This window comes from Homo sapiens, chromosome 2 (assembly GCF_000001405.40).
Source record: "Homo sapiens chromosome 2, GRCh38.p14 Primary Assembly".
NCBI classification, from domain to species: Eukaryota; Metazoa; Chordata; class Mammalia; order Primates; family Hominidae; genus Homo; species Homo sapiens.
Window position 1 is genome coordinate 10627672 of NC_000002.12, and position 12715 is coordinate 10640386.

The following is a 12715-nucleotide window of genomic DNA, read 5'->3' on the forward strand; positions in this document are numbered from 1 at the left end:
CTCAAAAAAAACAAACAAACAAACAAACAAAAAAAAACAAACAACAACAACAAAAAACACATCTTTTGGAGAGAGAGGGAGGGAGGGAGAGAGGGAGGGAGGGACAACTTTGGATACTATGCTCACTTCCAGGGTGACTGGTTGAATCGCATCCTAAACCTCAACATCACACAAAATACCCATGTAACAAACCTATACATGTACCCCCTGAATCTAAAAAAAGTTAAAATTTTAAAAAATAAAAATAATAAAAAATTAAAAATATACATCTGAATTCAAATTTGAACTCAATTTAAAGTAAATCATATTTTTCATTCAAATTTGTCTTTTTCCTCCTTTTAGAAGCTGTGAAAGGCGAGTGCTTCACTGCCTCCCATTGTCTGACAGCTCTTCCCACACCCTCAAACAATGAAAACTTTCGTCTTCAGGCCAATGTCCTATCATTTTCTGTACCTCATACAAGGTAGCTTTCTTGCATGATCTTACTCTTTTCCTAGATCCTAAAATCATGCCTTCTCTATCTAGATGATGCCTGGAAACACAATTCTTGAATTCTTTTCTGAGCTTTCTCCAACTTACCACCACTAGCAGAAATAACACACACAGGTACACTCTGCACATGAAGAGCCCCAAGACAGCCCCTTCACTGTGCTATCCTGACATTCTCGACCCCCATTCACAAGTGGAGTCACTGCCAACATTCTACTTAACCTTTATTCCTTTGATTTACAGTTGACTGAAACCAACAGAGCTCTTTTTGTTATAGATGCTGCTGCTGCTAGGCACCATCTCACCCATTCCGCTAACTGTATTTTTAAAATTGTTCCCCTTCTCCTACTCTATCCATTGCATTAAATATTTCTGAAGTTTAATTTCATTGGTTTAATCTCTTATATAAAGATCAGGTTCTAAAGTCAAGCAGATAAGACTAAATGGAATATAAGCAAACCTAAACTTGAAAGGCCCGTCAGAATTTCCATCTGGTGTTAGAATAGGACCAGATACAGCAGGAGACTTGCACCTGGTGACTACGTCATACCAAAAAATCCCATGTCTTAAATGACCAGAATCACACTCAGTGTGATGCTGTCATGCGCAGTATTAGGAAACAACACATTTAAGCAAACTTTTTCAAACAGTCTTCCTCATCTCAACTAAGAACACAAAAATAACCGAGTAACTCTTTTCTCAATTCTCCCAACAACGATCCATCACTGGAGCCATCCTAAATGCATGGGGGAGAAGGTAATTGATCACATAAACTGGATGCCTTAGGGAATTAGGAACACGTTTTCTCGGTTGAGAAAGGCCCTCTCATCTCAAGTTTAGTCCAGGACATATGCCCCCCAGAGCGAATGGACAGCCACGTAAGTGAAACTGCCTAAGAGTGCAAACATGCTCGCTTGCTCCCTCCACCTCTCCCCTACATACACCTCCCTCCCTCCCCCCACCACCCCTCCACCTCCAGCCTCCAACATCTTGAAGGGCTTTTATTGAAACTGATGTAAGCTAAATGAACTTCTGACAGGATTTCACTTTAAATCCAATCAGTAGCCACTAAAATATCCCAAATGCAAAGAAAATGTAACAGAAATGTTGGCAAGAATGTCTCTGACTAGTGAGATTTATAAATTTTTCATCTTTTTCTGATATTTATGTATTTTCAAAAATAACTATTACTTTATATTCATACAGAAAATATATTTTTTAATAATTTCCAAGAGTTTATAATAATAAAGAAATGTTTAGTGGGAAAAAAAACAAGATAAGAAACCATATTAACAAAGTTTCAGATTAAATATTGAAAAAATACAGCAAAATGTTAATGTTTGTCTTTAGGCAGTGGAAGGGTATTTGAGTTTTCTTCTACTCATCTGTATTTGCCATATTTTGTACAAAGAGTGCGCCTTGATGATATAATTGGGGAAAATGAACTTCACTTTAAAAAATCAGACTTCTTATTTAAACAACCAGATGTTATCACTGCTTTCTGTTTCAATAGTCAATGGCAAAACTAATGGCACAACAGACCTCTCTCAATCTATATCTTAAGTGATTATCAGACTAAACAATCCCAAATCATGTCTTAACTCATTTTCCTTGCTCACATTCACAAGTTTGTCACAATCTTTTCCGTGTATAGCTTTATTTTGCTCAACATGATATTCCCTTCTAAAAGCTAAATAAAAGTCCATGCTCACACAATGCCATAATTATTATTCTTTTTCCCCTCAGTCCCCTGAGTAGCTAAAACTACAAATGCATACCACCATGCCCAGCTAATTTTTTAAAACATTTTGCAGAAAGAGGGTCTCACTATGTTGCCCAGGCTGCCTAGAAATCCTGGCCTCAAGTGATCCTCCCACCTCATCCTCCCAAAGTACTGGGATTACAGACATGAACCACCACACCCAGCTTAATGACTTAATTTTATCCAAATACTCTTTGCCACCCACGGACCCCGTGAATTCTGTTCATTACAAGAAATCAGCTGAACATGAGAAATGACTGAATGAGTATATCCATTCTACATAAATGCCTTACAATATCATTCCTCTTTTGTTGCTCAAGAAACTAGTGTTCGGAGAGAATAAGTAACTCATTCAAGGTCACATTTATAAATGGCAATGCTGGTATTCAAACTCGGGTCCAACCAATTCCAAAGTCTAAGTTATTTCTACTATGCAATGTGGAAGGAAGAAATGCTTTTTAGATCCAGCTGTCACCAACTTGCCATTTGACCTTAAACAATAACTTGCAGCTGGGCGCGATGGCTCACACCTATAATCCCAGCACTTTGGGAGGCTGAGGCGGGCGGATCATGAGGTCAGGAGATTGAGACTATCTTGGCTAACACAGTGAAACCCCGTCTCTACCAAAAATACAAAAAATTAGTCGGGCATGGTGGTGGCAGGTGCCTGTAGTCCCAGCTACTTGGGAGGCTGAGGCAGGAGAATGGTGTGAACCTGGGAGGTGAAGCTTGCAGTGAGCTGAGATCGTGCCACTGCCCTCCAGCCTGGGCGAAAGAGCAAGACACTGTCTCAGGAAAAACAAAACAAAAAAAAACCCAAAAACTTGCTTCCTCAGCTACAAATTAAGGGCTGGACTAGATGACCTTGGAGATCCCTTCTAGCTCTGATGGTCTATGCTCCAAAGCTTCCCCTTTCCTTTAAAGCACACTGATGAATCCTTTAGTGTGGACAAGATTTGAGCAACGACTTTCCCGTTTACATTCTGTCTGGAACATCGTTTGTATGCTGATAAATTCCCTAGGGAAGAGTTTTCTTTTCATCTGACACTACCTTCCCAAACAAAGAGAATATGTTGCTACTGGTACTATAAAAGAGCAATTTCTGGCAAAATTACATCTGTCAGTATGTCTAATAGGGCTCTGCTTAAATGTGCACTTTAGATGAAAGTGTGATCTATCATTTTTAGGATTCTACACGGACACTAACAGATTCAGGGCCATTTCAACATATACTAATGGGGCAAAGAGATCTCTTACTGGGGACTTCTCCAGAATATCAATTTAGTAAACATAAATGATCCTACATTGTTGGCTTTGAACTGAAATACATCAGCTGGACCAATCGTGGTCCTGATTCAAACCCAAATCTTAGGGAATGACGTGTACAGCACTCCCAGCAACTCCAGTTAAAAGCATGGAGAGAAAAACAAAAGGCATTCTTTTCAATCTTTAAAACATACAATAAGGCTGTCATACTCTAGATGCAAAGCCAACTTCTGCACAAATTCCAAAAAAATTAAGACAAAAGCTAAATGCCCTTGCTTTCATATTCTCCTTTTGGATTTTTATAGGAAAAAAAAGTTTAATTAACCTATCTTCTTAACAGAATCACTATTAAATCTTTTGGACAAGGTATTACTTTTAAAAATTTGTTGGCACTCCCAAACACAACGATTGCATCATACCACCATTCTCAGATGTGGCTGACAAGAAGGCACTGTCAGAGCCAAAGAACTGATGCTAATCCTACTGTATGAAAATTATACTCTGGCACACATGAACCATGTTCTCCCTGTTTTTTTTTTTTTTTTAGATGGAGTTTCGCTCGTTTGCCCAGGCTGGAGTGCAATGGCACGACCTCAGCTCACTGCAACCTCTGCCTCCCAGGTTCAAGCGATTCTCTTGCCTCAGCCTCCCTAGTAGCTGGGATTACAGGCATGTGCCACCACATCCAGCTAATTTTGTATTTTTAGTAGAGACGGGGTTTCTCCATGTTGGTCAGGCTGGTCTCAAACTCCCGACCTCAGGTGATTTGCCCGCCTCGGCCTCCCAGAGTGCCTTTCTATATTTTAATAGTAGTAGCAGAAAAGGGCAAATGCAAAATTTCAATCTGGCATTAAGTACGGTCAAGAAGCACTGCAAACCAGCCATGGTCAAAGTACACAACCATTATCAAAGACGCTCCAAATTGCAGTAATCAGGTCACTCTCACTTGTGTGCTCATTAATTTTTCCACACCCATTAAGTGAGGGCCTACAGTATGACAGGCACTGCTTTAGGTGCTGAGGATATAACAGGGAAAAAGACAAAATGACGCCCCTGCATTCATGTCTTACATTACAATGGGGAAATATAGACGTAAAGAAGTAAATAAACGAAGAGAAAATATTTTAGGGCTCACGAGCCATATGGTCTCTGTCACAGCTACTCAACTTTGCCATTATAGTCAGAAAGTTGCATAGATAATACATAAATGAATGGGCTCACTGTGTTTCAATAAAACTTTATTTACAAAAACAGACAGCTGGTGTGTAGTTTCCCAAACCCCAGTCTAGAGTACACCCTGCAAGATCATCTGATTCTCATTCTACAGGACCTATTTTACAACTTTGCAAATTGTAAGTAACTGGAAGCAATGCAAAATAATTGTCTATAGACATGCAAATGAATTATGTCTGGTGGACAGTTTATACCTTTGGAAAAGGCCCCAAATAGTCCAAAATAGACCATTTTGTGTCTACTTGCACATTCCCAATTCAATATAACTTTATTCCATGTAAATTTGTCCTTTTTTACACTTTTCCTTTTAAAAGTTAAATTAAAATTTTACCTTTTGATTTAACCATGGGCCTGGTTCCCTCATTTAATTTACAGGTTAAATTAAAATGTGAAATTTTTAAATTTTAAAATATTATTTAAAAAAATAATAGCAACAGTGTCTTGGTTATGTTGCCCAGGCTAGTCTGAAACTCCTGGGCTCAAGTGATCCTTCGGCCTTAGCCTCCTAAAGTGCTGGGATTACAGGTGTGAGCCACCGCACTAGGCCTAAATTAAAATTTTAAGATGTATTTATTTCATCTCTATATGAGAATCATGATTTCATGTTTTGGGGAAGTTATCTTTTAGCAGTTTTGGAGGTCTCACTAAGATACCTGATGCACTCACCTGACAGAACCAGGAAAACTTCCTCATCAGAGTGTAACATACTTGGGCTCCTGAAATCCAAGCACAGTTGTCCTTGGCTCGCGGGGTGAATCCAAATGAACAGCAGAACTTGGCTGTGTCTGTCTTTCTTTTTTATTTTACTTAGTTATTCCGTTATTTTTTTGAGACAAGTTCTCACCATGTTGCCCAAGCTGGATTTGAACTGGGCTCAAGTGATTCTCCACTCCTGAGTAGTTGGGATTACAGGTGGGTACCACCGCAAAAGGCTCTAATTTTAAATTTCTTATCTAATAAAGCTTATGTAATATATAATTGATATATTAATTATATATTAATGTATCATAACATTGGTATTAATTATATATTGATATATTATTAATATACAGCCCATAAGTTATTCCCCACTTATGGTAACAGTGGCTGGGGATTTGGTTTAACAGCCCATAAGTTATTCCCCATTTATGGTGGCAGTGGCTGAGGATTTGGTTTAACAGTCTGACTATTTGGTGATCTTTGTAAATAGATTAATGCTTAATAGAGATCTATTCTCTGTTGAGTGAGAAGAAAACAGAATCTGATTCTTTAGTCTCTTTCTGCTTTTCTATTATGTAAGACTTTTCAAGTTGTAAGCAAAATAATGAGCCACTGGAAGGTTTTAAGCAGAAGAGTAACACAATCTGATTTATATTTGTTTTGTTTATATGTATGTGTGTGTGTGTGTGTGTGTATATATATATATTTATTATTATTATTTTAAGCAACAGGGTCTTGCTCTGTCACCCAGGCTGGAGTGCAGTAGCATGGTCATAGCTTACTGTAGCCTCAAACTCCTGGGCTCAAGGGATCCTCCTGCCTCAGCATCCCAAGTAGCTGGAACTACAGACACATGTCACCACACCTGGTTAATTTTTAAAACTTTTTGTGGAAATGGGGTCTCACTATGTTGCCCAGGCTGGTTTCAAACTCCTAGGCTCAAGCAATCCTCTTGCCTCAGCCACCCAAAGCACTGGTATTACAGGTGTGACCAACCGCACTGGGCCTGTTTTGTTTATATTTTTAATATTTTACATCAGTCTGGCTGTTACATGGAAAATAGGTTACAAGAGAGACAAAAGCAGAAGCAGAAAGATCAGTTATCCAGTATTACAGTAATCCAGAGGCCTGATGGAAGGGAAGCACTGAGAAATGGCTGGATGTGGAACAAAATCTGCAAACAGCTGATGGACTGGATGACGAGGCATGAAGTGGAGAGGAGAGGAAACAAGGATGGCTCCTGCGCTCTAAGCCTAGACAGCCGAGTGAGCAACAACAAGGCTTCAGCTGAAATGGAGACCCTGGCAGGTGGGGTGCAGGTGGGGAGCTGGATCAGAAGTTCTGATGTAGACACATTAAACAGGATGTGCTATTAGACATCCAAGTGGAGAAGCCGAGTAGACTGGTGGATATGTACCTCTGTAGCTCAGAGGGAAGGCTGGAGAGGGAAAATTGGACGTCATTAACACACAGCTGTTATATAAAGCCTAGTTATATAAAGCCTAGGCATAAACAAGCTCCCTGGGAGAGAATATAAATAAAGAAGAGACAAGGACTAAGTCCTAGCGCTCACTAACATTCAGAGGTCAGGGGAGAGAGGCAAGATCCGAAGTCTAGGACGTTATCAGCAGGAGGAGGAGCCAGTGAAGACTGAAAAGAGATAACTAGATGAAAGAAGGAATCCCAGGAGAATGTGGCCTTCTAGAAGCTGGGCACAGAGTTTTAAGGAGGCCTGGTCAACTGTGTTTCTAAATACCACTTGGAGATAAAGTAAAATGATGTGCATATGAGATGTATGTTCAAGGAGAAAGGGAGGATGACTGTACACGTCTGTCCAGGAAAAGCAATACAGGCTGAGTAGCCTGTTTCTAAAATGCTTGAGATCAGAAGGATTTTAAATTTTTGATTTTTTTTTTGGCTTTTGGAACATTTGTATAAAAATAATGAGATATCTTGGGATGAGACCCAAGTCTAAACATGAAATTCATTCATGCTTCATATACACTTTATACACACAGACTGAAGGTAATTTTATACCTTTAAACATTTTATATTTTTAATAATTTTTGGCAGGAAACAGACTTTAGGTTAAGTCTCATGTTTGGATTTTCCACTTGTGGAGTCATGTTGGCACTCAAAAGAGTTTTAAATTTTGGAGCGTCTGCATTTCAGATTTTTGGATTATAGAGGCTCAACCTCTACGTTCTCTATCGGCCAACATTCTCTCTACTGTTCTCTTTTGTTTCCAGAGATTGTGGGACAAATATGGTCATTCACTATTTTGCCCCAGATATGTGCTATGATCATAAGGCAAAGAAAACACCAAGTCTCCAACCCTGAAATTCAAATTTAAGATGAAGGTGGGGGAGATTTTTACAAATCTATATATAATATCTACACAGAAGAAGGGGGCTGATAAAATATCTACATAAAAAAGAGACTGATACAAAGTGCCTGACCCTTGACTTAGGGAAAATGCGTAGGAAGCCACTGAACCCTGCTGCCTTCCTTCACAGCGCTTAGTCACAGATCTGTTTATCACCACCCCTCACCTAGATTGTAAGCTCACAAGGGCGGTGAGTGTACAATAGAGAACATGTTGGTTTTCTTCACCAACATATTCCTGCAGCCTAGTACCGTACTCAATATATCCTTACTGAACAAATACAAGCACTTGTTGGTCTCCTACATTTACTTTTATAATATAGGAAGACAAAATAAAAATATTAAGAGACAAAATAGCAAAACACTCGTCCATCTAGGAATTTCATGTATTTCTTATTTTTTTTAAGAGAGTCTGTGTCACCCAGGCTGGAGTGCGGTAGCACGACCTCGGCTCACCGTAACCTCTGTCTGCCAGACTCAAGTTATTCTCATGCCTCAGCCTCCCAAGTAGCTGGGATTACAGGCACGTGCCAAAGCATGCTCAGCTATTTTTTTGTATTTTAGTAGAGACAGGGTTTCGCCTTGTTGGCCAGGCTAGTCTCAAGCTCTTGGCCTCAAGTGATCTACCCGCCTCGGCCTCCCAAAGTGCTGGGATTACAGGCATGAGCCACCATGCCTGGCCCATCCAGGAATTTTTGACACTTATTTTCAAGATACTGTCAAATCTACCGTTAAACTAAAACAACATATACTCTGGATAGCTGATAAAATATGGCATCTTTGGCCGGGCACAGTGGCTTACACCTGTAATCCCAATCCCAACACTCTAAGAGGCCGAGACAGGAAGACTGCTTGAGCCCAGGAGTTGGCGACCAGCCTGGGCAACATAGTGAAACCCTGTCTCTACAAAAAACCAAAAAAAAAAAAAAAAAAAAAAAAAACACCAAACAAAATTAGCTGGGTGTGGCGGCATATACCTGTAGTCCCAGATACTCGAGAGGCTGAGGTAGGAAAATCACCTGAGCCCAGAAAGTTGTGACGCTGCAGTGAGCCATGATCACACCAATGCACTCCACCCTGGGAGACAGAGTGCGACCTTCAATCAAAGAAAAAAAAAAAAAGTATCTTCTTAATGAAGCTGAGGAGTAAGGCTGTGTTCTTAAGACTTTGGAAAATTATGCCAAAACACACCAGAACAGTAATGTTTCAAATACTGAACTTGAAAAAAGATACCATCTATATAGGAAGAAGATCACATAGCGATGATTAAAAAGTATCCATAAGTACCTCTCTAACAGACAACAGTCATTGACATAGTCATGGAGTTTAGAACTAGACTAACAAATTCAATTCACCACAGACAGAAGTTAAAATTGTTTGCACCTAAATTTGTTTTTGTCACAAAACCCTTAGAGGCTGGGTGTGGTAGCTCACGCCTGTAATCCTAGCACCTTGGGAGGCCCAGATGGGTGGATCACTTGAGGCCAGGAATTCAAGACCAGCCTGGCCAACACAGCAAAACCCCATGTCTACTAAAAATACAAAAATTAGTCAGGTGTGGTGGTGCGTACCTGCAATCCCAGCTACTTGAGAGGCTGAGGTAAGAGAATCGCTTGACCCAGGAGATGGAGGTTGATTGTGCTACTGCACTCTAATCTGGGCCACGGAGCAAGACACTGTCTCAAAAAAAAAAAAAAAAAAAAAAAAACACACACACACACTAAAACCAAAAACCCTTACAGAAAAAAACCTGAGAAAAAGACTATAATATCTATTTGTATTTCTTCATTGAGCAAGAAAAAAATCTGCCAGACTGCAAATATTCATACATTTACTAGAAAAATGTCCATGCCATTTCCCTAAAACTGACTTCCCAAAGCTATAATGATTTCAAAAGCATCTCCCTGACAACCCCTAAAATTCTGCAGCACCTACTGCCTTGCCATCTTTACAGGTGCAGGAGCACAGATGTCTGCCCTAGCCCAGTGACTGAAGCCCTGAGGAGATACCAGCGTTGAACCCTGTGATGGCGTCAGAAGGCCTCACCTCTGCGGGGAGTGTGCTACCTACTCAGCTGAGAGGCTTAGAAACATTCACTAAACAACCTTTTATTACATTCCAAAAAATGTGGCTTCCAATTGTGCATTTCCTTTGGTTTGCGTGCCTCTGTGAAGCTGTGTGGTATGTATTTTTGAGGCCTTATGCTTCTTAACACATAGTGTCCTCTATTTGCGAAGACAGAGTTTTGTGGGTTTATGAACTGCTGGATAAGCTCCAGTGCGATTCTGAACAGACGCAGAAGCACTAGTGCAAGTTAGAAGGGTTCTTCATGTTTTTAACCGCCTCATTTGCAGGCTCCAAGAGTACTTTCCAAATTTTAAATTAAATGGTAAATGTTAAAATATTTAATCAGTGTTTTATTTTAAACAGTCAAAATATTTTAATAGAAATAATATAGGAGTTTCTTAAGAAAATGTTTGAAAATAAAATAACTGGCCAGGTGCAGTGACTTACACCTGTAATCCCAACACTTTGGGAGGCCAACGTGGGAGGATCGCTTGAGGCCAGGAGTTTGAGACCAGCCTTGGCAACACAGTGAGATCCTCTCTCTACAAAAAAACAGCATAAAAATTAGCTGGGCTTGGTGGCACATGCCTGTAGTCCTACCTACTCACAAAGCTGAGGCGGGAGGATGCTAGAGCCCCAAAGGATGAAGCTGCAGTGAGTTATGATCACGTCACTGCACTCCAGACAGGGTGACAGAGCAAGACCCTGTCTCATTCAAAAATAACGTAACGTGACGTGACGTGACGTGACGTGACGTGACGTAACGTAACGTAACGTAACGTAACGTAACAGTACCTAACTGCCATTCTTGAAAGCTGGGTGCAGTATTTATTCTTTATAACATCTTAAATAGTGACATTAAAAAAAGAAAAAAACAAAAACAAAGCACATACCCTTATAGCTGAATTCCCTTTTTTTTTTTTTTTTTTTTTTTTTTGAGATAGAGTCTCACCCTGTCACCCAGGCTGGAGTGCAATGGCATGATTTCAGCTCACTGCAACCTCCGCTTCCCAGGTTCAAGCAATTCTCCTGCCTCAGCCTCCCAAGTAGCTGGGATTACAGGTGCCCACAATGACCCCCGGCTGATTTTTTGTCTCTTTAGTAGAGACGGGATTTCACCATGTTGGCCAGGTTGGTCTTGAACTCCTGAACTCGTGATCCGCCCGCCTTGGCCTCCCAAAGTGCTGGGATTACAGGCGTTTGAGCCACCGTGCCTGGCCTTTTTTTTTTTTTTTTTTTTTTTTTTTTGAGACAGATTCTTGCTCCGTTGCCCAGGCTGGAGTGCACTGGTGTGGTCTCGGCTCACTGCACCCTCTGCCTTCCAGGTTCAAGCGATTCTCCTGCCTCAGCCTCCTGAGTAGTTGGGACTACAGGCACACACCACCACGCCTGGTTAATTTTTGTACTTTCAGTAGAGATGGGGTTTCACTATGTTTGCTAGGCTGGTCTCAAACTCCTGCCCTTAAGTGATCTGCCCATCTCAGCCTCCCAAAGTGCTAGGATTACAGGCGTGAGCCACCATGCCTGGCCAACTGAATTACTTTTATTCTTCTAAATCAAACAGCTTGGGCCAGGCGCGGTGGCTCACACCTGTAATCCCAGCACTTTGGGAGGCCGAGGCAGGCGGATCACAAGGTCAGGAGATCAAGACTATCCTGGCTAACACAGTGAAATCCCGTCTCTACTAAAAATACAAAAAATTAGCTGGGCGTGGCAGCGTGCGCCTATAGTCCCAGCTGCTGGGGAGGCTGAGACAGGAGAATGGCGTGAAGCCGGGAGGCAGAGCTTGCAGTGAGCCGAGATCCTGCCATTGCACTCCAGCCTGGGCGACAGAGCGAGACTCCATCTAAATCAAACAGCTTCCCAAACAAATAGTTTTCCTCCTACATTTTTCCTCAAGTTTACACATCCACATTACCAAGCAGCAAGCAATCACTCACACCCCAACCACCACCACCAAGCAATGAGTGGCTGCAGGAGTGCCCTGATATGCTAGGGGCTCGGAATTCAGGAGCATTTCCAACAGAAACACCATTAAGCAGAAAGGTTTTGGGTTGGGTGCCATAGGGGACTTGGATTCCCTCTGAAGTCTACATAGTTGCCAAGGATGTTAATTATAAAGAACTAACCTAAGATTAAATTATGTTTCAGAGGAAAAAGCAAGCTTGAAAAATTATTCTTGGCATTAGTCTCTGAAGCTGCAGACGAATTAGACCCTGGAGAAAACAAACAAACAAAACAATAGAACCTGGTCTCTGAGAGAATTAAAAAAATAAAAATAAAAATAAAAAATAAGGAAAGAACTGAGAAAATGGGACAGGGGCTGCAGACAACCCATTTGGTCTCAAAGGACAAGCTGGCTACAGAGATATCTAAGTGCCAGAAGGTGGTGTATCAGGAACTGCATTAGTTTATAAAGATTTCAATTACTCAAGAAAGATGATATCAGATAGGCAAAAATTAACAAGCTAAAAGAACACTAAGTTGCCTTCATCTTCAGTATGCCCCAAAGAGGGAGGGAAAAAGTTTTCAAACCTGATTTATAAGATGTTAATACAAATCACAGTCCAGGCTTCCTAAACTTGGCATGGATCATACATTAAACACACATTTCTTTGGTTCTATAGGCCTCAAATGAACCTTCCTGCCAAACGTCAACTTGGTACGTTTGATAAAATCTTATGAAAAATGGCAGGCTTTCAGACCCCTGGGCTCTCCCTTTGCTTTGAAGGAGTTTACAAAGAGCAGTTTCCAAGTAAAGACAAGTGGTGCTATAAAATATCACTCAGTACTGTGGGAGGGAGCAGGGCAGAA

General features: G+C 40.8%; 1 protein-coding gene across 14 annotated transcripts in view; it reads right to left on the minus strand.

The window, feature by feature from the left end:
* The window catches only part of NOL10 (nucleolar protein 10), a 119222-nt gene that overhangs the window by 56918 nt on the left and 49589 nt on the right, over positions 1-12715 (minus strand). Inside the window, exon 14 of one of the 14 annotated variants that reach the window (XM_011510402.3) lies at positions 4739-6887. The exons of 12 other annotated variants lie outside the window; for them this stretch is intronic. In XM_011510402.3, coding sequence (XP_011508704.1) covers positions 6876-6887 — 12 coding nt within the window. In that variant the 3' untranslated portion in view covers positions 4739-6875. Of the gene's footprint in view, positions 1-4738; positions 6888-12715 lie in introns of those variants that run through there. One more of the 14 variants, XM_024453153.2, reaches the window with a different exon arrangement.